Here is a 24,944-nt window from a genome sequence, read left to right on the forward strand (position 1 = left end):
GGACTGCACTTTCACCAACATAACCCCTCTGAAGCCCAGAGGCCAGAATGTGTGAATTATAGACCTGGCCTCGGGGAGCTGTGGGCCTCACACCCTCTAGGGTAGATAAGGATGGATCAAAGGAAACTGCTTGGGCCCCTCCCTCACACATGCTCTTCCCAGGATCCACTGCCCAGTGGCTGGAGTGATAAGACAGATGATACATATGCACGGAGGGGATTTTGGAGCCTCCTGCACAAACATTCCCTTGTGTGTGAGCCGGCCACGTGCCTCCCCTGCACAGCCCACCAACCCAGTGTTGTTGTTGGGTCTTGCATCCTGCCAAGTCGTCTTGTAGGATTCCTTCCAGCCCTTCCACCTCTGCTGGTTTATCCTGTGGAGTCCAGCTTGGCCTGAAATGAAGATCAGGAGCAGCCTTTGTGGACCTGCTCCCTGTGGGGGGCCTCTGTGCCTGTCTTGTGCCAGGCTTTGGGTCAGCCAACTTTGCTACAGCCTCTAAATAAAAATCTGACCCCTAAGCCCTGGGGAGAAGTGTAGCTTTTCCTGGAGGTCTTGTGGAGGTACAGAAGAGAGGGTCACACCACACATCAATCACCCAGCAACACTCCACATCAGACTCCCCTGCCCAGTAGACGTCTCTACCCTTTCCGGCATCCCTGTTCATTGGCACTGGGCTGCCAGGCCTCCTCTTCCTTTCCTGCTCTTTTTTCAGACTTAAAAACCCCTCTGCTCTCCCAGGCAATGTGGCCATTCCCAGATCTTCCTCCCAGGCCTCCTTGGAATTTCCCTCAGCTTGCGGATTGCAGTTCTCACTCAGCAGGCAAAACCACAGCAGAGCTCAGCAAACAGCTGCACTGTGATGGCCTGTGGGTTCTTACACCTGCCCGGGGAATCCCTCTCGCTTCATCCCATCACACCTAAAGAAAAGGAGAGCTGCAGGAGGTCTGACGGTGGGTGCATGGGTCCCAGCTGGGCAGTCTGCCCAAGCTCCTGCCCATGCTGGCCTTTGTTCCTGGGGCATTTCCAAAGCTCAGGGCTTGGGCCTTTGTCCATTCTCAGGATCCGGTAAATGATGCCTGACCACCCAAAACCCAGCAATCTTTCCTGCCTCCAAACAAAGAGGCCTTTTGATTTTTCTTACTCTCTTGGCCCTTACATGAGTGCCAAAATGTCTTGGGTAATAAAAAGAAGATTATCAGGAAACACTCACAGAGCACTTACTATGTTCCAGGTACTATTTTAAACATTATAGTTATTAACTCATTGAATCCCAGGAGTTGAGAGGCACTGTGTGTGTGTGTGTGTGTATGTGAGTGTATATGAGTGTGTGTATGTGAGTGCGTGAGAGTGTTTGTGTGCATCAGTGTGTGAGTGTGAGTGTGTGTGTGTGAATGATGTGTGTATGTGTGTGAGTGTGTATATGGGAGTGAGTGTGAGTGTGGGTGAGTGTGTGAGTGTGGGTGTAAGTGTGGGTGAGTGTGTGTACGAGTTGGATTTCCTTTTCATGCTTTCCTGGATTTGCTACCATGAACAACTATGACTTTTACACTCTCAATAGGGAAATTAACTGCTAAGGAGGCTAAGGTGAGAGGATCACTTGAACCCAGGAGGTCGAGGCTGCAGTGAGCCACTGCACTCCTGCACTCCAGCCTGGGCGACAGAGCAAGACCAACTCTAAAAAAAAAAAAAAAAAAAGAAAAGAGAGAGACAGAGAGTTAGAAATTGAAGCAGATGTTTACTGAGCCTGCTGTGGTGAGTTTTAAAGGGTGAGCACAGAAGCCCAGAGCTGGGCTGGCATCCAGTAGGTATATAACAGTGTGGCTGGCATCAGTCTGGATGGTCAGGGAACTGTTCTGACCGATTATGTCCATTGATAAGCATTTTGATATCTTTCCTGGCTGGAAGTCATGGTCTCTGCTTTGGGAGGGAGGAAGATTCTACCCTGTGGCCAATTCCCTTCCCCCAGCCAGCAGCCCCAGTCCAATGAGGGACTCACTATGTTGATCTCTGTGCTTTTTCTTTTTTTTTTGAGACAGAGTCTCGCTCTGTCACCCAGGCTGGAGTGCAGTGGTGCGATCTCGACTCACTGCAACCTCTGCCTCCTGGATTCAAGCGATTCTCCTGCCTCAGCCTCCCGAGTAGCTGGGACTACAGGTGCCTGCCACTACACCCGGCTAATTTTTTGTATTTTTAGTAGAGAAGGGGTTTCACTGTGTTAGCCAGGATGGTCTTGATTTCCTGACCTTGTGATCCACCCACCAGCCTTGGCTTCCCAAAGTGCTGGGATTACAGGCGTGAGCCACCGCACCTGGCCGATCTCTGTGCTCTTTAAAGAGGCTGTGTGGGGGAACTCTACCCGCTCCCTCCTGGGTCCTCATTTCAAATTCCCAGCCTTTAGAGTTAGGAATTGCAGCTCCAGGTTGGTGTCCACACTCCAGAGCAGAAGACCTCAGCCCTGGCTGCATATTTTAAAAAAAATACCAAGGGCTGCACACAGTGGTTCACGTCTGTAATCCCAGCACTTTTGGGGGCTGAGGTGGGAGGATGGGTTGAGGCGAGGAAGTTGAGACCAACCTGGGCAACACAGCAAGACCCTGTCTCCACAAAGAAAATGAAAAAACAAAACAAACAAACAAAAAACATTAGCCGGGTGAGGTGGGGTGCACGTGTGGTCCTAGCTACTCAGGAGGCTGAGGATTGCTTGAGCCTGGGAGGTTGAGGCTGCAGTGAGGTGCTATTGCACCACTGCACTCCAGCCTGACCACAGAGCAAGACGGTGTCTCCAATCAATCAATTAATCAATCAATCCCAATGCTGGAGTTGCATCCCACACCAGTTAAACTGGAAACTCTGGGGTAAGCCCAGGGCAGGGGTATTTTCTAACTTTCCTGAGATGGCTCTGCTGTGCAGCCACAGTTGAGAACCACCGAGGCATCCAGGCAGATGGAAAAAGCTCCCTCCAAGGCAGGCCTTGATAAAGGGTCCAGCATGGAAGAGGACACGTGATGACTCCGAGGGCTTATAGTTGATTAGAAAGAGAGCTAGACCCTGTGCGCAGAGATGGGTTGACTCAATGCGACTTGGGTACTGGAATGCAGAGAAAGGAGGCAGCTCAGGTAGGGTGGGGTTAAGCAGGCCAGTCTTTCTGGAGAAGGTTCTGGAAGCAGTTTTGGGAGGCAAGTCCCCCATCCCGGTGAACGGACTCTTCAGATCCTTGCTAAGGGTTTTCCCAGGGGCTCCTTATCTGATAAGCCAGCCCCTTTGTGACTCTGGCTCAGGATCCCTGCCCACCCCCGGGCCCGTGGGGGTGTGGCTGGCCACTCTTCAGTCACTGCCCTGGCTCTACGGGACACCCCGGCAGGATGAGGCTCCGACAGATAAGACCCGTGCTTGTTAGCACAGCTGTTCTCTGCAACACCCAGCCTTGTTTTCAAACCTGCGGAAACTTGGGTGCGGAAGTGTGACTACATCCACCCAACTTCAGAGTTGGGCTTGGTTCCAAATAAAAGGAAATTTAGTCAGTTTTCCCAGACAGAGGGACAAAAATAGAGTTGACAGGAACCTCAAAGGTTCTGCTGGAGTACCGGGGTCACACCTAGAAAAATCAGTTGGATCTTTGGTCTGGGCGCCCTGTTCAAATGCCCTGTTTAAACTTAAACTCTCAGCATCAACAACCACCCTCAAATCTGCCCCATGTACGTGCTTGGAGATGGTGCTCTAAAAGATTATGCTTTTTTTTTTGAGACAGGATCTCACCCTGTCATGCTGGATCATGCGATGGCATGATCTCGGCTCACTGCAATCTCCGCCTCCTGAGTTCAAGCGATTCTCCTGCTTCAGCCTCCCAATTAGCTGGGATTACAGGCGTGTACCACCACACCTGGCTAATTTTTTGTGTCTTTAGTAGAGACGGGGTTTCACCATGTTGGCCAGGTGGGTCTTGAACTCCTGACCTCGTGATCCGCCTGCCTCGGCCTCCCAAAGTGCTGGGATTATAGGCATAAGCCACTGCACCTGGCCAAAGATGATACTTTCTTTTAAGAAGGTCATTTTGTTTCTTCTGCCTTTAACAGTCCTAGAGTTTCTGTGTGTTCACTGAGCCTCTTTGGGCAATAAGCTTACTACAAGGCTCTGGGGTCTATAAATTATTTGCATGATCAAAGACATCGAACTGCATGATCAAAGAATTTAACTTTTGTATGTTTAATAGAGACTGGACAGGTAACTCGTGCTTGGCTAGATTGGCCCCTGGCAGAATCTGTTACCCCTGGATTCAGCTTTGGGTCCCATCTCAGGTGTCCAGGTCCTGTATGAGCTCCTGCTGCAGAGTGGGGCCTCGGGGCCTCCCGTGGGGAACTTGTTCTGCCTCAATGTTCTGTGCTGAACAGTGTTGACCTCACATGCGTCCTTCCTTACCTCCTGGAGAGCATTCTCCTTTTTACTGCCCTTTCAGCAACTCAGCACTAGCACATTGCATAGGACCAACTGCGGGGAGGGCTCACGTGGGCCCTGGGAAGGCCACTCTAAAGTGTGGAGGGCAGGTTTCCCACCATGCGACAGGCAGAGGTCACACTGCCGTTAGCAGCAGAACTGAGCCTGAAATTCAATCTCCTGATTCCCAGGGTCCTTACCCACCTAGTGAGCTGTGTGCCATGAGGGGGCCCCGCCCATCAAAGGGTCTCCAAAAGCCAGCGATGACATGAAGCAGGAAATGTATCATTAGAGCGGAAAAGAACCACACAGCTCCACAGCTCCATATGTTGGTCAACGGGCCCATACTGTCTGTGGCTTAAATGGGTCAGAGGTGTTGTGGCAGACAATAGAACCATCCTCATTCCTCGTGGAAAGTTTCCTGGGGAGCTCTGGACCCATAATTGAGTTGATAGTAACTGGAAAGGCTAGAGGATGGTGGGATCTAAAAATGCAGCACAGAAGTTCCTAGGGCAAGTGACTTAACCCTTTGGAGCTTTAGTTTCCTCATCTGTAAAGCAGGAACAATGAAAGTGCCTACTTCTGGCAAGGCGTGGTGGCTCACGCCCGTAATCCAAGCACTTTGGGAGGCCGAGGCGGGTGGATCACTTGAGGTCAGGAGTTCAAGACCAGCCTGGCCAACATGGTGAAACCCCATCTCTACTAAAAATACAAAAATTAGCTGAGCGTGGTGGCGGGCAGCTGTAATGCCAGCTACTCAGGAGGTTGAGGCACAAGAACCACTTGAACCCAGGAGGTGGAGGTTGCATTGAGCTGAGATCATGCCATTGCACTCCAGCCTGGGTGACAGAACGAGACTCCATCTCAAAAAAAAAAAAAGAAAGTACCTACTTCTCAGAGTGTTGTGGGGGTTAAGGTGAGATGATACCTGTGGAAAGTGCCCATGGAGCGCCTGTGCACAGGAAACTTCAGGATTCTGGAAAACTGCGTTATTTCTCTCTCTCTTTTTTTTTTTTTGAGATGGAGTCTCACTCTTTCACACAGGCTGGAGGGCAATGGTGTGATCTCAGCTCACTGTAACCTCCGCCTCCCAGGTTCAAGCGATTCTCCTGACTCAGCATCCTGAATAGCTGGGACTACCGGCACCTGCCACCGTGCCAGCTAATTTTTGTATGTTTAATAGAGACGGGTTTTCACCATGTTGGCCAGGCTGTTCTTGAACTCCTGGTCTCAAGTGATCTGCCCACCTTGGCCTCCCAAAGTGCTGGGATTACAGGTGCGAGCTATTGCACTCAGCGAAAACTGTGTTGTTACTTAAAGCCTCTCTCTGTTAGTAGCTGGCCTTCCATTTCCCTTTCCCTGGCCGATCTCCTCTGAGCCCTGGAGGGGCAGGTGTGGGATGAGTTTGTCCTTTTGAGGAGGAGACAAAGACACACAGAAGTGACTTGTTCCTGAGACATGCAGTGAGTCAACAGCTGGGGCGTCCTGGAGCCTGGGTCTCCCTGCCCCCGTGGGTCTCTCTGACAGTGCCCTGAGTTTCTGCCTGCTGCTGGCCGTCTTGGGGCCCTGCCTCCCATCTTGCAGCTGACCCTGGCCGGAAACTCCGCCCCATTGTCTTAGGCCTCGGGAGTCTGGCTGCCCTGGGGTGACAGCTTTCTCCTCTGGCTGAGATAACTCCAAGAGATGTCTATCCGTTCAGGGAAGGGGGAGCCTCTGAGCAAGCTCTTCCCTGCCCTGTGATAACGGCAGACAATGCTTAGAAAGGAGAGCGTTCCATCCCACAGCCTGCCCTCTGCACCCTCCCCCTGCTCCCACCAAACCCACCTCTCCCTCATCCCCCCAAAGGCTTTGATGAGTCTTTGGAAACTTGGGTGCGAGGCTGAGTCTCATTAACTCCTTCAGCACCGTCAGTGCTGTGAGTGTGCAGGTGGGAAATGCGCCCCTCCCTGGGCAGTCTGGTGACCTCCAGGAAGCAGGGTCAGGGCCAGGTGCTTTCTGGGTGGCTGAGGGGAGGTTTTAGTAGGGATGGTTCAATGGCTGTAGTTTTGTCCTAGGAAAAACTTTCTTTGTAGCTGAGCTCTGGAATCAAACAGATGTGAGTTTAAGTTCTGGCTCTATCATGGATGAGCTCAATGGTCTTGGGAAACTTAAGTTCCTCCTCCAAGCCCTGGCTTTCTCATCTGCTAAATGGGGGTACAAATAGCCACCACTAAGGTCATCAGAGGGAATAAATAAGTGATGAATAAATAAATAAATACACGCAGAGAACCTAGCAGAGGGCCTGGCACAGGGAGGCTATTGTGATGGTCATTTCTCCTAGAGCCACCTCTGTGCAGGCCTCGGGTTGGTGGCCTTGTGACGAGAGTGAAGGGGAACACTCTACACCTCACCCTTTACTGGAAAGAGCAGCTTCACTTCCCATGGTAAGTCAGAGAGGTCATCTTGACATGGAAGGAAAAACCCTTTGTTCATTTGATAAATATTTGTTGGCAGGTTACTGTGTGCCGTGCATCGTTTGAGCAGCTCGGGAGACCCAGTGAGTCCAGCCATCCCTGTCCACAGGTTGGTGTGAATGTGCAGGGCTAGCACAGGGGGCTGAGAAGGTAACAGATAAACTAGTGAAAACAAGTAAAAATAATATAACCTCACATAGAGAGGGGGGCTTGGAAGACAAATAAAATGACACAAGGGGTTAGAAGGTGACAGGAGGCCAGGCGTGGTGGCTAGCACCTGTAGTCTCAGCTGCGAGGTCCCTTAAACCCAGGAGTTGGAAACCAACCTGGGCAACATAGCAAGATCCCGCCTTAACAAAAAATAAAGGAATTAGCTGGATGTGATGCCTCATGCCTGTAGTCCCAGCTACTCAGGAGGCTTAGGCAGGAGGATCACTGGAGCCCAGGAGTTTGAGCCTGCAGTGAGCTGCGATTGCACCACTGCACTCCAGCTTGGGCAGCAGAGCAAGACTCTGTCTCAAAAAATAAATAAATACAAAAATAAAAAGAAGGCAACAGGTTGCACGTGTGCTATTTTTGATAGGATGTGCAGAGAAGGCCTCTCTGAAGAGGTGACATCTGAGCAATATTGGAATGAAGGGAAGGAGTGGGCCCTGGAAACCTGTGCCAGGAGTTTCCCAGTCCTAAGGAACAGCATGCTGGGAAGCCTGGGGGTGGAGGTCCAGCTCCCAGGGACAAGCTTGAGGCTGGTGTGAGGACGCAAGACTGCAGGGGCTCAGCACTGTGGCCGCGTCTATCTGGGTAACCTACTCAAACGCACTGAGGAGTCTCTCTCTGTCTGGGCCCAGGGCTCTGCCCGCATGACGGTGACCTCTGTCCCTACACAGGTGGCCTATTGCCTGCGTGTGCACACGTGTGTGTGTGTGTGAAGGGGGAGCCAAGGAACTGCAGAAAGCTGACCATGGTGGATTGCATATTTGTTTTTAATTAGGGTGATGGCAGGCAGCTGTCACTGGTTTCTTTTTATTTATTTACTTTGTCCCTGCCTTCTGATTAAAATTTCTGGTGCTATTTGCTGATGCCAGAGGCAATCTTGGGTTCTGAAAACACAGCGGGGCCCAGCTGCTCCCCTTGGGCTGGCCCTTCATTTAGGACCATGTGAAGGAAACAGCAGGTGTCGGGGCAGTGCCCTCCACGTGATACTGCTCCAAGCTCTGTGTGCCAGCCTAGGGCCCTCATTAAGACCAGAATTCAGGGAAAAGAAAGGTACCTCCATCCCCAAGTCAAGCCAGTTGCTTGACTAAACTGACTGATATTTCCCCTCATTAAATTGATGCTCATTCATCATTTCAATGCAACAAATATTTCTTGGGACCCAGCACTGCAGAGGGTGCAAGCCCAGCTGATGGTCATGGGGAAGGTGTGTTGGCTGATGGCTGTTCTCATGGGCGGGGACCCATGCCCCAATTACTGCATATTTTAAATTATCACACTGCTAGAAAAAAAAGATGAACAAGAGAATGTCTCCACCCTCAAGGAGCAGGCACATTGTAAAAATACCCATGAAACTGTCCAACTTATTTTGGACAGATGAAGTCGGAGCTTTGACAATTGGATAAACAAAGCACCAAGACATAAAGTGTATCCAAAAAATCAGCTTTTCTCAACACTTATCTCCCTGCGCTAAACCCACATGCCGCCTACCTCCTCTGTCTCTACCGACCCAGGAAAATTCACTGCCAAAATCTGTGCTGCTTTTTTTTTTTTCCTTTTAGTTTTCCCCAAGGTTTGCATTTGGAGCCACCGGAGATGGGGCTGACTTGCCAACATGCCCTCCAAGGACCCCATTCTGGCCTCCAGTTCAGGGCCTTCTTGGGGTTATCATTCTCCAGATTCCCCATCGACATGCCCCCTCCACCTCCTTACGAAACTTCTGGCTACATTTGGCTGCTGCGTCTCTCTTTACAACTTGCAGCCTACTCCTCCCTCCTCTGAATGTCGCCGTCCCTCCTTCTGCCTGTCCCAACTCTAATTCTGCCTCAGAGTCTCCTTGAAATCCCCTTGGTCTCTGGGGACTCTCACGGCCACTAAGGCCATCATTTTCTAGGCACGACCCCATGCTTCTTAGGCCTTGGTCTCTTGTGGGCTCCCTATGACCTCCTGGTCCCCTCTTCCTCATTCAGGCTCAGCTCCCCCTTTTGAGCTCTGGTGACATAAGGTGGCCTTCTCCCCTCCCAGCTGGCTGGGGCAAGGGAAGAGCACGGGCAGTGGATCATGCCACAGGGTTTTGGAAAGTCTCCCCGTGCCAGTGTTGGGTGGGATGCTCCTGTGACCCACCCGAGGGCCAGGCGGGAGGGGCGGCTGGCTGGGGAGCAGACTCTGCAGGGCTCAGATGGGCCTGGGGTGGAGGGTGGGTGCACAGTGACCAAAAACCCAGCTTGGATTCATTCTGAGGCATCCATGGGGAGTGTGGGGGGGCGTGGAGCGGGTGGGGCACAGGTCCCCTGACCTCATCCAGCCCCTATTTCCTTTGCTTCCCCTGGATCTGGGGCCTCCTCCAGCTGCGGTTTGCAAATGTCAGGGCTCAGTGCAGATCGGGCTGGGTGGTGGTCTGCCTCTTTCTCTGCCCATTTTCTCAACTTGGGCCCGGGAGCGGACAGGGCAGGGCTGGACTGTCCCCTCAGCATAGGGGCTTCACGGAAAGCCTGTTTGGTGGAGGGTGTGAACCAGGAGGGTGGTCCCAAACTTCCCCTTCAGCCTTTCTCCTTGAAATAGACAGTGACTCACATGGAACAATGACGTGATCGCAGGAATATGCCCGGGGCTGACAGCCAGACCTGCAGGTCTTGGGGTGTGGGTGGGGTGCCCTGGAACTGGCAGCAGAGACCAGCAAAGTTGACTGTGATGGCTGAGACCTACTGTATGCTGCAGAGCAGAACTCTGGTTCCGAAGGCCTGAATGAGGGCAGTGGGTACAAAAGAAACAGATACATGGTGGGGAAAGATGAAGGGTCTGGAACAATAGGGATGGGTGGAAGAGCTCACAAGCGCCACGGAGACACCATCACTGTGTCCTGCAGCTGCTCTTCCTGCAGGCTGCGGGGATGGGGAGGGCAGGCAGAGGAGGGAACAGAATGGAGGCTCCGAGTCTACCTGCTCATGGCAAGAGGAGGAAACTAAAGCCCACCTGGCAAGGTGAGGGCTCGGCTCCGGGTTCCCCAGCCACAGAGGGCTTAAGCCTGGCCCTGCCTTAAGCTCCTGGGAGCAGGGGCTCTTTCCTCAACCTTTCAGCTGCTGCCTGGGATCTGAAGAACTTGCCCCAGGAAAGCCGAGTGGGTGGGGTTCCCCCCTGGTGGGGTGGGGGTGATTTGTGCAACACACGAAGGTAGGGACACAGAGGTCGAACAGGGGCCAGCAATTGGGATGCCTGGCAGATCCAGATCTACTGGCTGCCCCTCGCGTGGTCTCGTTCCTCTCTTCCTTCATCTGTGTGCCCATGGGGTGTGTTCTGTGTTGCCTTCTCCTCTTGCCTCCTGTCTCCTTTGCCTCCTCTTCTCTCTCCCTCCTCTGTTGAGCACTAATGCTGGCAAGGAGCCTGCCCTTGCCTCCTGATCCATTTTGGTTCCCAGTCAGTTTTGTTCTGCAGTCACCAGCATGGACTGCGGGAGCACTGTGAGGAGTGAGGCACCCGGAGATGAGGCTTCCACCTGGCAGATACTGGTATCTATGGGGAGAGACATCCATCCAACAGATGCTCATGTGACAGTAGGCACATGCCAGACTCTGGGCTAAGCATGGCCTGCCCCCGGCTCACCCTGTAGTGGGGAGATGGACACGTGTACAATTAAATCAGGTATTAAAGAGAAGGGGGTGAGTGCTCCAGGGGTGATGATCCTTTGTAGGAACAGCTCAGCTCTCTTCCTTCCCTCTTCTCTCCCTCCCCTTCATCCTCCGTCTCTCCTTTTCTCCCTCCCTCCCCTTCATCCTCCCTCTCTCCTTTTCTCCCTCCCTCCCTCTCTCCTTTCTTTCCTTCCTCTCGTCCTCCCTCTCTACTTTCTTTCCTTCCTTCCCTCATTCTTTCCATAGTCTCAAATATGTCCATTGAGCTCTGAACCTTAATTGCCAGCTTCTTGCCAGACACTTCCACCTGGATGTCCCACGGACATCCCCAGGCAGCATGGCCCGGCCTGAACCCACTGTTTTCTTTTCCATACCTGTTTCTCAGGATTTGCCATTGCAGGTGAAAGCCCCACTCTGCAGCCCCAGGATAAATCTTGGGGGTTGTGTTCACCTCCTCTGTCTTCCTCATGTGCACACAGCCAGTAACAGAAGGGTGAAGACCCACCTCCAAGACTCTTTCTCATCTGCCCATCCCCTCTGCCTGTCCCCACGGCCATGATTACCTTGGGCTTTTATAGTCTCTCTCCTGGGCTTTTATAGTCTCTCTCCTGGACCACTACAGGGGTCTCCTGCCCTGTGTCCCCACAGTCTACTCCTTTAACGCTTAGCCCTGCTAAGAACATTTATAAAACACAAATCATATTCTATTCATTTATCTGGCTGGGCACAGGGCTCACGCCTGTAATCCCAACACTTTGGGAGGCTGAGGCAGGCAGATCACTTGAGGTCAGGAGTTCAAGACCAGCCTGGCCAACATGGTGAAACGTCTCTACTAAAAATACAAAAATTAGCCAGATGTGATGGTGCATGGTTGTAATCCCAGCTACTTGGGAGGCTGAGGCAGGAGAATCGCTTGGACCTGGGAGGCAGAGGTTGCAGTGAGCCGAGATCGCGCCATTGCACTCCAGCCTGTGTGACAAAGCAAGACTCCATCTCAAAAAATAAAAAATAAAAAAAAATAGATTCAATTCATTTATCTCATAGCATGCATATTGGAATCATTGTGTGCCAGGACACTCTGTGTACTTCCAAAATATTAACCCATTTACTCCTCCTAACGCTCTTAAAAGGTCTGTATGGTTCTAACCATATCTCATCAACTTAAAGGCACCCCCAATTGTAAGATGCGCCTAATTTTTGTAATACTAAGAGAAAAACTATGACACAATGATTTCAGTCACATAAAATTGTAATTTTATATTTAATGAAAGTGCCCTTTTAGGTTTGTTAAACGTGGGTTTTCAAAATCATAGATCTATTCTGTGCATACTTAGGGTGTTTATAAATGAAAGAAATGTTTAGATACACTTAAAATTTCCACATCCTCAGGGTGCCATCCTTCTGAATTGTTTTGAAACTCAGAGTCATCATAACCCAGAGTTATGTTCTTCTGCATAATTTTTTCTGTGCCATTAAGGGATGCAGTATTTCTCAAAAGTGTGGATTTTCTTCCAAATGACATTAATTCTTAGTATGTTTTCTATGACATTAGTAATTCTTAGTATGTTTGCACAAGTAATGAGAACTGTGTCATTGTGGCCACCCAGCCAATGAGTCTAAGATGATTTTTAGATGTGTTAAAAACAAAACAAAACAAAACACACCGTGCATCTTATAATTGATGAACCACTTTATCCCATTTTACAGATAGCAGAACCAAGACCTAGAGAGATTAAGTATCTTTCCCCAGGTCACATAGCCAGTCAGTGGCAGAACTGGCATTGGAAGCCAGGCAATCTGCCTCTGAGGGCTGCACTTCTAACCATCACCAGAATGTTGCTTTACTCTAAAGCCCTCGTTAGAAATCCATTTTCTAGGGCAAAGGAAATCCAAACTCTTTCCTCAACATTCAAACCTTTTGACTTGCCTTGCTTTCCTTTCTAGGCTTATCAGCTCTTTTTTTTTTTTTTTTTTTTTTTTTTCTGAGATGGAGTCTCACTCTGTCACTCAGGCTGGAGTGCAGTGGTGCAATCTCAGCTCACTATAACCTCTGCCTCCCGGGTTCAAGCGATTCTCCTGCCTCAGGCTCCAGAGTAGCGATTAGCTGGGATTACAGGCATGCACCACCACGCCCGGCTAATTTTTGTATTTTTAGTAGAGAAGAAGTTTCACTATGTTGGTCAGGCTGGTCTCGAACTCCTGACCTCAAGTGATCCGCCTGCCTCGGCCTCTCAAAGTGTTGGGATTACAGGCATGAGCCACCGCGCCTGGCCCTAGGCTTATCAGCTCTCAAATGTCTTGTGCTCTGGCCTGCTCTGAGCTGCAGATGGTCTCAGGCCTGTGGTATCTGGGCTCACACTCGGGAGCCCTCCCGTAGAAGACAGCTCAGACACCACGGGCTTGGCTTTAGCACCACCTTCTTTGAGACGTCTCCCTGACCCTTGCTGGTGGTCTTGCAGAATATAACCTGCTGAATGTAGCAGTGGGCCCCTTGGGCCAGGGGCTGGCTTCAGCCTGGGTGCTTCTATCCCAGCCTGGTGCCTGCATCTGTGACCTTGACAACACCAACCTCCCTTCTTCCCACCTGGAGAGACAGAAAACCTGATAGTTTGAGAAGCATTTTGGAGATCTGGAACGTTCTATAGTTGCCACCTGGGTGTTGAGCAGCTGGGGACCTGCTGTTTATGTAATAATATCCTGTCCGTGGGGGTATGTGCCTAGTGTCATAGTGAGCTATGGGAAAACACCTGATTCGGCATGTTGTAAACCTAGGACACCCTTCACCCTGAAACCCCTCTGACCTAGCAACTCATGGGACACAATGACTCAGGCATTGCTGCCGGAGGACTCATGGGTGTATGTGTGTGTGCAGGGTGGGGAGGAAGTGTTGGCGACATATCTTCTTCTTTTCTGCTATAAATCTCATTTCCTGTGGCTGACAAATTCCAAAGGAGGCTCCAGGACCCTCTCTTCCCAGTTCCTGCCCTGGGGCTTCGTGCCAGCAGCCCCAGCAGGAGATGCTCCAGCCAGAGCCAGCTCAGGGCTCCAGCATCCTCCTCCAAGCACTGTGGTGGAAAAAGCCATGTGGGAGAAGCCGAGGAGGAATGTTCCAGGCCTGCTCAGTTATTAAAGACCTCTCAAGATAATGAAGTACAGGCAAGAACAAAGAGGCAGAAAAGCAGCTAAATTAAAAATGCTATTCTCTGCACTTGGACCATCAGGCCCTGGCAAAGCCATTTGGCAGATATTCAGGTCATTTGGATGAGGGAGTTTCTGGCTTCTTCAGGCAGGAGGGTCTCTCGGTGAACATGAGAGTGTAGAAAGTGTCCCACTGGCTCAGGTCTGTGGTCCGCTGAGCAGAGGGGCTGTGTCCCTCTCTTAGAAGGAGCGAGCGCCCTGGCTTTGTGGGTGATCAATCTCCCTGATGTCAACTTTAAAGATAAGGGATTTATCCTCCAAATCCCACCTTGCACTTAATATTCCACTAGGGACAGACTTTCTGATTTTATTTAAAAGTTTTGGTGTCAGTTTATATAGCAACAGGGACTGTCTCTTGAGAGTATTTATGACTCAAGTTGTGCTTTCTTTCCTTGTTCTTAACCCATCTCTCTCTCTCTTTCTTTCTTTCTTTCCTTCTTTCATTTCTCTCTCTTTCTCTCTTCCTTCCTCCCTCCCTCCCTCACTCCTTCCCTTCTTTTTTCTTTCCTTCTTTCTTTCCTTCCTTCCTTCCTTCCTTCTTCCTTCCTTCCCTCCTTCCTTCCTTCCTTTCCTTTCCTTCTTTCCTTCTTTCTTTCTTTCTTTCTCCTTCCTTCCTTCCTTCCTTCCTTCCTTCCTTCCTTCCTTCCTTCCTTCCTTTCTCTCTCTCTCTCTCTCTCTCTCTCTTTCTTTCTTTCTTTCTTTCTTTCTTTCTTTCTTTCCTTCTTTCTTTTCTTTACAGGGTCCCACTCTGTCACCCAGGCTAGAGTGCAGTGGCACTATCTTGGGCTCACTGCCTCCTCTACCCACTACAGCCTCCACCTCCCGGGTTCAAGTGATTCTTGTGCCTCAGCCTCTTGACTATCTGGGACTACAGGCATGCACCACCATGCCCAGCTAATTTTTGTATTTTTAGTAGAGACGGGGTTTCACCATGTTGGCCAGGCTGGTCTCGAACTCTTGGCCTCAAGTGATCCGCCCACCTTGGCCTCCCAAAATGCTGGGATTACAGGTGTGAGCCACCACACTCGGCTTAACCTACCTCTTTCTAAGCTTTCTACTGGTGCCTTGGAATTTGGAGAACCGGCTAGCCACATTGGAGATCACAGCTATTATTGTTTGAAAAGATTGAATATATATGTATACATATTTAATTGAGAGGTATTGTATCTATGCTTTAAATTCAGGTTTTTACAGTTGGAGTTCAAGCCACTTCTCATCACCAGGCTTTAAGAGAGAAAATTTTTTGTTGGCCTTCCTGGGGAGAAGGTATGAGTTAAAGAGGACGTGGAGAAATAATTTTTTAGGCCTCTTGTGGAGAGCTAAATTATACTGATTTATGAACCACTGGCAAACACACAATATTGGAACTGTTTCTTGTTGGCGGCACTCCTGCAAACATGGTGGGCCACCACCTGAGGATCAGATGAGGGGGAGGGCATCCTCATTCTTCCCTCCTGCCAACCGTCCCTGGTCCAGGCATCTGACTCCTCCACCGCCATGCTTCAACTTGGTAGAGAAATAGACATCAGCCTTGCTCACCCCTCCCTCCACTGAATGACCATCCCTTTGGTCCTCACCCCGACTTGGGGTGAAGGGACAAGACAACAACCTAGGACATGCCAAGACCAGGGAAGTCTTTGAGGCAAAAGAGCTCTGTGACCTCCCCTTTACCAAGGTGACTATAGATTAAAGAGCTCTCCTGGGACAGGCCATATGTGACTGAGAAATGGTTAATGTTGGCTTTAAGTGTTTTATCTGCAGGGAGGGACTCTTGGGACGCCCTGAGGTTTGAGGTGTTGGCAGCTACCTCTGGAAGGGGGTGCATGAGGGCCTTGATGTTCTTCTACCCAAGGACTCTCATGCAAACTTTTTTTTTTTTTTTTTTTTTTTGAGACGGAGTCTCACTCTGTCTTCCAGGCTGGAGTGCAGTGAGGCGATCTCAGCTCACTGCAACCTCTGCCTACCAGGTTCAACCGATTTTCCTGCCTCGGCCTCCTGAGTAGCTGGGACTACAGGCACGTGCCACCACACCTAGCTAATTTTTTGTATTTTTAGCAGAGACGGGGTTTCACCATGTTAGCCAGGATGGTCCCCATCTCCTGACCTTGTGATCTGCCCGCCTCGGCCTCCCGAAGTGCTGGGATTACAGGCGTGAGCTATTGAACCCAGCCTCTCATGCAAACTTTTCATGCAGAAAGCGTACGAAGGTTTTGGGTTGGCCTCTTTCTTTCCTTTAAGTCAGGGTGTGACACGGGTGTGGAATAGCATGACAATTTCCACTAAGGGATCCAGTGCTGCTGTAATTGTTGGTCTTGGCCTCTGTCCTCACTAATGTGATCGTGAACTACCAGAAGGGAAGATGACGATCGCCAAGGAGTACGTGGGAAATGCGCTCCCCGCGCCAGCACAGGAGGTGGTCCGGAGATAGGAGGGCCAAGCTGCACACAGAAGCAAGAGGAAGGGCTGCGAGGAAGGCCTGGGAGCAGGCCCAGGGTGGGTGCAGGAGAGAGGCAAGAGCAGAGCTGAGGAAAGGAGCCACAGATAGGCATGGAATCTCCACTCTGGGCCTTGCTCAGGCGCCATTCCACGATGCTACAGAATTGGAGTTACAGGTAGATCCTGGAAAAGTCGTGTTCAACCTAAGGTCAAAGGACAGACTCTCGTGCCAAAGGACCTTTCTTTTTATTTTTTATTTTTTGAGACAGGTTCTCACTCTGTCACCCAGGCTGGAGTGCAGTGGTGCAATCTTGGCTCACTGCAGCCTCAACCTTCTGGCCACAAGCAATCCTCCTGCCTCAGCCTCCTGAGTAGCTGGGACTACACGCATGTGCCACCATGCCCAGCTAATTTTTGTATTTTTTGTAGAGACAGGGTTTCACCATGTTGCCCAGGCTGGTCTGGAACTTCTGGACTCAAGCATTCCACCTGCCTTGGCCTCCCAAAGTGCTGGGATTACAGGTGTGAGCCACTGTGCCTGGTCCAGGACCTTGCTTTTATGCAAACTCAGAAGGCTGGAAGACCTGCTTGGTGTGAGTGTGTGGCAACATCAGCATGGTCCAGAAGGATACATGGAGACCCAAGAGTTGGGGCCCATGGAGGAGCCTGAGGATGGGAGAAAAGAGGCAGAAGGGATGCCTGGAAGCATCTGCTGAAAACTTTAAACTTGAGCTGCCTTCAGCCACCACAGGGCATGCCTGGGCTGGGGCTTTTCTTTGTCTTTGAGGGTCAGGCCCATGCCCAGCCGAGCATTCTAGAGCAGGGAGGAAGCTAGAGGACATCTGCTCCCATCCCCTCATTTTAGAGTTGGGAAAACTGCCACCTGGAGAGAGTAAATGACCTGCTGAAGCTCACACAGCTTAGGACTCCTGACTCTTGGGCTACTGCCCTTTCTACTGAGCCATTTGGTCTCAGAGGGGCCAGTCCTCAGCAGCATCTCCTCACTGGCAGGCCATGGCCCTCTTGGTACCAGGACTTGTGTCCTCCAAGGTGGACAACCAGAGCAAGGCCACTGTCTCTGGAAAGTTGCCATTGGAATGAACATGTGAGCGCCTAAAGGGAAGGGGGTGGTAGGAGTACATGAGGACTCCTGAAGATAGGGAGTTTTAAGTCGAAGACATGAATGTCTAAGGGTGAAATTGTGAGTATCAGCCAGCTGGTGAGAGTATTATTTCTCTAGTGCCCTCAAGTGTCTTCCCAGTCCTGGGCGTTTACACTGGCGTGGGCCCTGATGCTGATGGAGTGTAGCCCCCTATTCAAACTACCTGGCTCACATGGCCACATCTGCGTAGGTCTGGGAGCAGATGGACTTGGTCATCTCAGAGGGTGGAGAATAGGACACAGAGCGGACAAAAGAGGATGTGCCAGAGAGGCCTGGGGGACCTGCTGTGGGGTTTGGGGTCCTGGATGAACCTGCTGACTGGGATACCCTGCTGTGGGCCCTGCAGGCAGCTCAGGGTGAGCACTTCCAGGAGACAGAGCCTCACTCCCCCAAAGCCCCCTTATCACCATCACAGGGAGAGCACCAGAGCCGTGAGAGCAGGTACCACCACCCCAGGCCACATTCCTCTCATAAGTGGAATAACACAATGGCCCTTTTAACTTAAACTTCCTTCTTAATTGACTGCTGCGGAGAGAGCAGTCCATCATCCCCCCACCTCCACCCCCACCTCTCCTGCTCTGGGCCCTGTTTATGGTGCTGATGAGCAGGGCGGGGGAGCTTCCTGGCTGGGCTGACATGATGATAAAGGGCAAAGCCCTGCACGCCTTGCCAGCCCCTGGCTGGGGGCTGTGGCTGGAGCCGCCTCGTACCCGAGACCCTGATGTTTAGAGAAACTTCAGGCGGACTTGTGGGCTCCCACGTTCCTGGTACAACTTGGGAATTATGTTGAATCGTGTTGGTGAGGATCCCTGGAATCCCAGTGGTCCCATTCCCCAGCCTCCCTCTCTAGATGTTTACAAGCCAGGTGATGGGCTCGGTGTTGGAGAGAGAAACATTGGCTCCCCTAGAAAGGGAACACGGTGGTCCCAGGACTCCACAGTCAGGTCTTGGCCAGTCTTGGGTGGAAAACCCAAACCCAGAGCGTCTACTAGGTGGATTAGGGACAAAGACTGCAAATCCCGATGTATCTGTGAGGCCAACCCTGGGTCTTGGCATTGGGTGGGCAGGCCCCTCGTCAGCCTCAGGATCTGTGTCAGGGTCTGTATCAGCAGCGGCACCTGCAGGAAGCAGCTGCACCTCCCATCACCTCTCAGGCCCAGAAGGTACAGAACATTGTACCCCGAGATGTTAGCCGGTGGGAAGAGGAAGGGAAGATGGTGGAAATGGATTCCATGTTAGCCGCTGGGAAGAGGAAGGGAAGATGGTGGAAATGGATTCCGAGGAAAGCCAGCTCTGCCTGAGGGGGATCTTATCAGAGCTGGGGCCAGGGCCTATTGCTCTGCAGACAGTGGGAGTTCAGCAAACAACAGTGACAATTAACATGTATTGAGTATCCAGTGTTGTTATCTGACAGACACACCTCTACATGCTTTGTAAAATATCTCTTTATCCTTGTAACAATCCTCTGATTCTTAATTGGTTTTATTTTTAACAGGTCAAGTCACTGAGGTGCAGAGACACTGCCTTCCTGTCCTAAAGTCCAGTTCAGGCCAGCTCTCTCCAGAGTTCCAGGCTTTTGGTCTCCGTCTGCAGATCTCCTTTGCTTTGAATGAGTCTGTCCCTGAGGAGGGCTAGGAGCAACCTTGAGAAGGAACATGATGGTCACTAATTCAGCCAGAACACTCTCAAGGTGCATTCTGAGCGAGGCTGATGCCAGGTGCAGAACAAACACCTCTTGCGCCTGGGAGCTTCCTGAAGTTTGGAGAATGTGTCAGATATCACCTGTTTGCCCCTGGGGGCCTAGCCCCACCCCTGTCTGCATTTCGTGCAGACTACACTGGGGCCTCCGTTGCCCTCCGTTTGGCCAGCAGGAAGCTCTGGCAAAAGATCAGTGGGATAGAGGAAGATGCTTTGGGGATTTATTTTTCCCGCTCCCTCTCTGGGGATCCCTGAAGGGACAGCTGTGCCTTCTGTCCAAGTGTCCTATTTTCCCTCTTCTCCAGGACTAGTGGTAAACCTTTTCCTAGTTCCTTCAGTTCAAAGGGGGAATAGGTGCCTTGTTCCAGCCCTGGGGTATAGCCCTGTCTCTTCTGGTTCCTCTTCAATCTGCCCTGTGTAAACAGCCCCTTTCTTTTTAAAACTCTCCTACAATAGGCCAGGCACAGTGGCTCATCAGGCCTGTAATCCCACACTCTGGGAGGCAAAAGCGGGCAGATCAGTTGAGGTTGGGAGCTCAAGACCAGCCTGGGAAACATGGTGAAACCCTGTCTCCACTAAAAAATACAAAAATTAGCCAGGTAATCCCTGCACTTTGGGAGGCCAAGGCAGGCGGATCACAAGGTCAAGAGATCGAGACCATCCTGGCCCACATGGTGAAACCCTACTAAAAATACAAAAATTAGCCGGGTGTGGTGGTGCGCACCTGTAGTCCCAGCTACTTGGGAGGCTGAGGCAGGAGAATTGCTTGAACCCGAGAGGTGGAGGTTGCAGTGAGCCGAGATCATGCCACTGCACTCCAGCCTGGGCGACAGAGTGAGACTCCATCTCGAAAAAAAATCTTTCCTGCAATCATCCTAGTTAGAGTGTGCTATTTGTTTTCTGCTGGGCACTGACTGATACAAAGAATAGGACCTATAGATAGAAAATTGCTGGTGGAGGCTGGGCATGGTGGCTCGTGCCTGTAATACTGGCACTTTGGGAGGCTGAGGCAGGCGGATCACGAGGTCAAGAGATCGAGACCATCCTGGCCAACATGGTGAAACCCTACTAAAAATACAAACATTAGGCCAGGCGCCGTGGCTCATGCCTTTAATCCCAGCACTTTGGGAGGCCGAGGTGGTTGCATCACCTGAGGTCAGAAGTTCGAGACCAGCCGGACCAACATGGAGAAATCCCATCTCTACTAAAAATACAAAATTAGCCAGGCGTGGTGGCAGGTGCCTGTAGTCCCAGCTACTTGGGAGGCTGAGGCAGGAGAATCACTTGAACCTGGGAGGTAGAGGCTGTGGTAAGCTGAGATCGCGCCATTGCACTCCAGCCTGGGCGAGAAGAGCGAAACTCCATCTCAAAAAAAAAAAAAAAAGAAAAAAAGCTGGGCATGGTGGTGTGCACCTGTAGTCCCAGCTACTCGGGAGGCTGAGGCAGGAGAATCGCTTGAACCCGGGAGGCAGAGGTTGCAATGAACCTAGATTGTGCCACTGCACTCCAGCCTGGTGACAGAGCAAGACTCTATCTCAAAAAACAAAAAAGAAAATAACTGGTGGAGCACAATTTTTCCACACTGCAGGGGAGTGAGTGCGGTAGGAGTCTGGAGGAGTGAACGTTCTTGTGGCCTGGGGCAGACGGAGAGGTCTTCCTGAAGGTCATGGGATCTGAGACCGTGAAGGACAGTGGGAACTCACATGTCTGAGTAGCTCCTAGCACGGTGCCTGAAGCATTTTTGAACAGAACTGAACTGGAATGCTTGATGCTGCCTGGTGTTCAACAATAGCTTCCAACCCCCTTCCTAGGCCTGGGTCCCAAGCAGGCCCCTTGGACTGTTGGGGAAGAGGCAGTCACTGTGCTGGGATATGTCCCTCCATGGGACCCCCCTGCCTTTTGCAGCGTTCACACAGCCCTTCTTATGTGTCAGATGGACCAGGTATGAGTGTATGCATCTTAGGTCTCTAGTGGATTCTGGGTCAAGCATGTGCCATGGGTCACATGTCAGGTGGCACAGGTATGAGTGTGCACATTTTTTTTTTTTTGAGATGGAGTTTTGTTCTTGTTGCCCAGGCTAGAGTGCAATGGCGTGATCTTGGCTCACTGCAACCTCCGCCTCCCGGGTTCAAGTGATTCTCCTGTCTCAGCCTCCCAAGTAGCTGGGATTACAGACATGCACCACCACACCCAGCTAATTTTGTATTTTTAGTAGACATGGGGTTTCTCCATGTTGGTCAGGCTGGTCTCAAACTCCCGACCTCAGGTGATCTGCCCACCTTGGCTTCCCAAAGTGCTGGGATTACAAGCATGAGCCACCGTGCCCGGCCACACATCTTAGCTCTCTAGTGGATTCTGGGTTAAGCATCCTTGCACACCACCACCACCTGCCTCCGCTCTCCCCAGTGCCTAAAACCATGCTTTGCATAGAGAGGGGGTCTAAATAAATATTGTTGACTGAATAAATGAATGAATGTATGAATGAATCTAATTCTGTCAATGTTTGAGCACCTGATGTGCTTAGCACCTTGAGAGGAGCCAGGGATACAGAGGCAGGACCTGCCCTTATTCAGGAGCTCCCAGGCAGGTGAAGCTGACCATCACCCAAAGGACCGTAGCCCAGCGGCTCAAGACTGATACAAAGAATAGGACCTATAAATAGAAAATTACCAGTGGAGGCTGGGCGCGGTGGCTCATGCCTGTAATCCTGGCACTTTGGGAGGTTGAGGCAGGCGGATCACGAGGTCAAGAGATCGAGACCATCCTGGCCAACATGGTGAAACCCTACTAAAAATGCAAAAATTAGGCCAGGTGTGGTGGCTCATGCCTGTAATCCCAGCACTTTGGGTGATGTAGCCAGGGTGACGCAGCCCCTAGGACAGAGGGTCAGAGAAAGCCCCCCTCGCTGGAGACTGCATCTGAATGGAGTCTAGGTTTTGCCTAGTGGTAGGAGTGGAGGGAAGGACTCTCATTTTAGGCAGAGGGACTGCACGAAGAAAGTGAGTAAAAAGTGCGTGGTGCCTTTGGAAACGACTAACGTGGCCTTGCTGAGGAGAAGGGCGCTTTGCAGAGTGTGAGAGCAGCCTCTGAAAGGTGGTTAAAATGGATTAGGAAGGGCTCGGAGGCCGTGGGGGACCATGGAAGATTTTGGAATCAGGAAGTCACATGTGCGGATAGATCTATGATTTGGAGAAATACCTCTGGTGGTTGGTGTCGGGGAGGGCTCAGAAGCTTAGTGGCCATTTGAGTTACACTGTGGTCATCCAGGCCACAGAGCCACATGCCTGAGTGAGGGCCGGGCATGGTGGTGGGGATGGTGAGAGGACAGTGGGGAGAGGCACGCTGAAAGGAGAACTCTTCCACCTAGTCACTTCCCCTGGGAAATGAGCATGGGTGAAGTCAGAGAGGATGAATGTCTGGCTGCCAAATGCTGTGGCATTTAAGAAGATGGAACCCAGGAGAGGGAGCCAGTCTGGGGAAGGAAGTAATTATTTTGGCGTCAGTCAAGCTAAGTTTTGTGTCTGTAGGACAGTCACAGGGGTGTGGGTTCTGTAGTCATTTGGCCTCTTTAGCCCAGAGCTGGATTAGAGCTGGAGGTGGTGCTGGGTCCCCTCTGGAAGGGGGTGATGGTTCCAGTCCAGGGGAGCGTGAGGTGGGAGGACCAGATGGCTGAAGATGAAGCCTTGGCTATCCCAGCTTAGAAGGGGTGGCCATTGTAGGTACCAGAAAACAGGGATGGCAGGAGGCGCAGAGGAGAGACTGAGGACATCCCAGAGACAGGGACACTGAAGCTCGGAGAAGAGAGAATGATCAGCTCAGAGTCTGAGCACACAGGGAGCCCCATCCAGGCTGCCTAACTGAAGCTGGGTTATTTTAATGTAAACCATCGTGGTGGTCAAGCAAAGCATCACTCCCCCTGCCACGTAGTTTTGACAGTTTGGGCAGATGGAGATGGATTGTGTAAGGGCTAGCAGCTGATAGAGAGTTCAGAAGGTCCAGGGTGGGCCTTGGGTGACAGCAGGTATAATAGCCACGAGGCTGGCCAATCCTGGGAGCACAGGTTCCTGCTTATAGACGAGACAGGTACAGGGGCCCCGGGGCTGCCACACTTGGGAAGGGAACACCCGGGTTCTCTTTGTGGTTCTGTCAGTGATTAGGGTCTTCAGAAATCTCTGCGTCTCAGCTGTCTCGTGTGTAAACAGCTCCTGACTCTCTTGAGCTGCTTAGGAAGCTAAAAATACTCCACCTTTTAGAGAAAGGGCACCTTGTAACTTAGGGAATTAATTCCCACATCCTTCCTACACTGACTCCTTAAGTCATAATTCAGCAAAGACGAGCAGGGATTTCCTCCTCCCTCTCCCTACTGGTTCTCTATTACAGATCGGGGATGTGGAGACTGGGGAAAGGCAGGTCTAGCCCCCAGCCCTTCCGTGACAGTTCAGAGTGTTTCTCAGCTACTCCCGGATATGGTGCTGTCTTCAAGGCCCTCTTCTTTCTGAGAGAGCCTTCTGGAAAGGTCAGTGTGCCCCAGGGGGCAAAGGTGCAGAAGATCTGGGTAGAGTGCATTTTTTTCTTTTTTTTTTGAGACAGAGTCTCGCTCTGTCACCCAGGCTGGAGTGCAGTGGCATGATCTCGGCTTACTGCAACCTCCACCTCTCAGGTTCAAGAAATTCTCTACCTCAGCATCCCTAGTAGCTGGGATTACAGGCGCCCGCCGCCACTCCCGGCTAATTTTTTTGTATTTTTAGTAGAGACGGGGTTTCACCAAGTTGGACAGGCTGGTCTTGAACTCCTGACCTCGTGATCCACCTGCCTCTGCCTCCCAAAGTGCTGGGATTACAGGTGTGAGCCACCGCGCCTGGCCGAAAGTAAAGTGCATTTGTATCGCGGGCCAGGACGCCTCCATCCAGGAGACTCCAAGAGGTCCTGGTTTGAGCCCTGAGTCCCCCAATAGAGCAGAGGTTTGATGACACCCCAGGGACAAGTTCACTTCACATAGAAAAAAGCCACACCTATGAGTTTTTTCTAAAGCAAAAATCAAACACTATGACTCCCTGTTTGAAACCCTTCAATTGTTCCTATTGCCCTTAGAAAATTCAGACTGTTGGGCCGGGCGCGGTGGCTCACGCCTGTAATGCCAGCACTTTGGGAGGCTGAGGCGGGCGGATCACGAGGTCAGGAGATTGAGACCATCCTGGCGAACACTGTGAAACCCCGTCTCTACTAAAAATACAAAAAACAATTAGCTGGGCATGGTGGCGGGCACCTGTTGTCCCAGCTACTCGGGAGGCTGAGGCAGGAGAATGGCATGAACCCGGGGGGCGGAGCTTGCAGTGAGCAGAGATCGCCCCACTGTGCTCCAGCCTGGGCTACAGAGCCAGACTCTGTCTCAAAAAAAAAAAAAAAGAAAAACACACACACAAAAAAACGAAAATTCAGACTGTTCAGCAAGCCCTCCAGGGCCGCTTAGAACCTGGCCCGATGCTTCTCCATCTCCATCTCCTACCCCTTCTCACCTCCTTCTCTCTGGGTTAGCCACTCTGGCCCCCTCTCTCTCACCGTGGTGAGCTTGTTCCTGGCTCCGTCTTTGATAAACTGTATCCTCTGTTGGCAACACCTGTAGGCCCCATTTGAGATGTCCCCTCCTCAGAAGGTCGTTCCCTGACAATCCCAGCTAAAGCCACCTGCTCTCTCCTCCCACCCTCCCTTATTCCCCTTCTTATTAAT

At 51.3% G+C, this 24,944-nt stretch overlaps 4 annotated features.

Annotated features, from left to right (window-relative positions):
- Nucleotides 559–1,104: an enhancer, noted in NCBI's record as "H3K27ac-H3K4me1 hESC enhancer chr7:131305309-131305854 (GRCh37/hg19 assembly coordinates)". NCBI's record gives its function as "activates a minimal SCP1, AML or CMV promoter by ChIP-STARR-seq in naive H9 embryonic stem cells {active_cell/tissue: H9 hESC(naive)}" and the evidence as "EXISTENCE:reporter gene assay evidence [ECO:0000049][PMID:30033119]".
- Nucleotides 3,941–4,608: an enhancer, noted in NCBI's record as "H3K27ac-H3K4me1 hESC enhancer chr7:131308691-131309358 (GRCh37/hg19 assembly coordinates)". NCBI's record gives its function as "activates a minimal SCP1, AML or CMV promoter by ChIP-STARR-seq in naive H9 embryonic stem cells {active_cell/tissue: H9 hESC(naive)}" and the evidence as "EXISTENCE:reporter gene assay evidence [ECO:0000049][PMID:30033119]".
- Nucleotides 4,609–5,274: an enhancer, noted in NCBI's record as "H3K27ac-H3K4me1 hESC enhancer chr7:131309359-131310024 (GRCh37/hg19 assembly coordinates)". NCBI's record gives its function as "activates a minimal SCP1, AML or CMV promoter by ChIP-STARR-seq in naive H9 embryonic stem cells {active_cell/tissue: H9 hESC(naive)}" and the evidence as "EXISTENCE:reporter gene assay evidence [ECO:0000049][PMID:30033119]".
- Nucleotides 18,302–18,898: an enhancer, noted in NCBI's record as "H3K27ac-H3K4me1 hESC enhancer chr7:131323052-131323648 (GRCh37/hg19 assembly coordinates)". NCBI's record gives its function as "activates a minimal SCP1, AML or CMV promoter by ChIP-STARR-seq in naive H9 embryonic stem cells {active_cell/tissue: H9 hESC(naive)}" and the evidence as "EXISTENCE:reporter gene assay evidence [ECO:0000049][PMID:30033119]".

This window comes from Homo sapiens, chromosome 7, assembly GCF_000001405.40.
Source record: "Homo sapiens chromosome 7, GRCh38.p14 Primary Assembly".
NCBI lineage: Eukaryota > Metazoa > Chordata > Mammalia > Primates > Hominidae > Homo > Homo sapiens.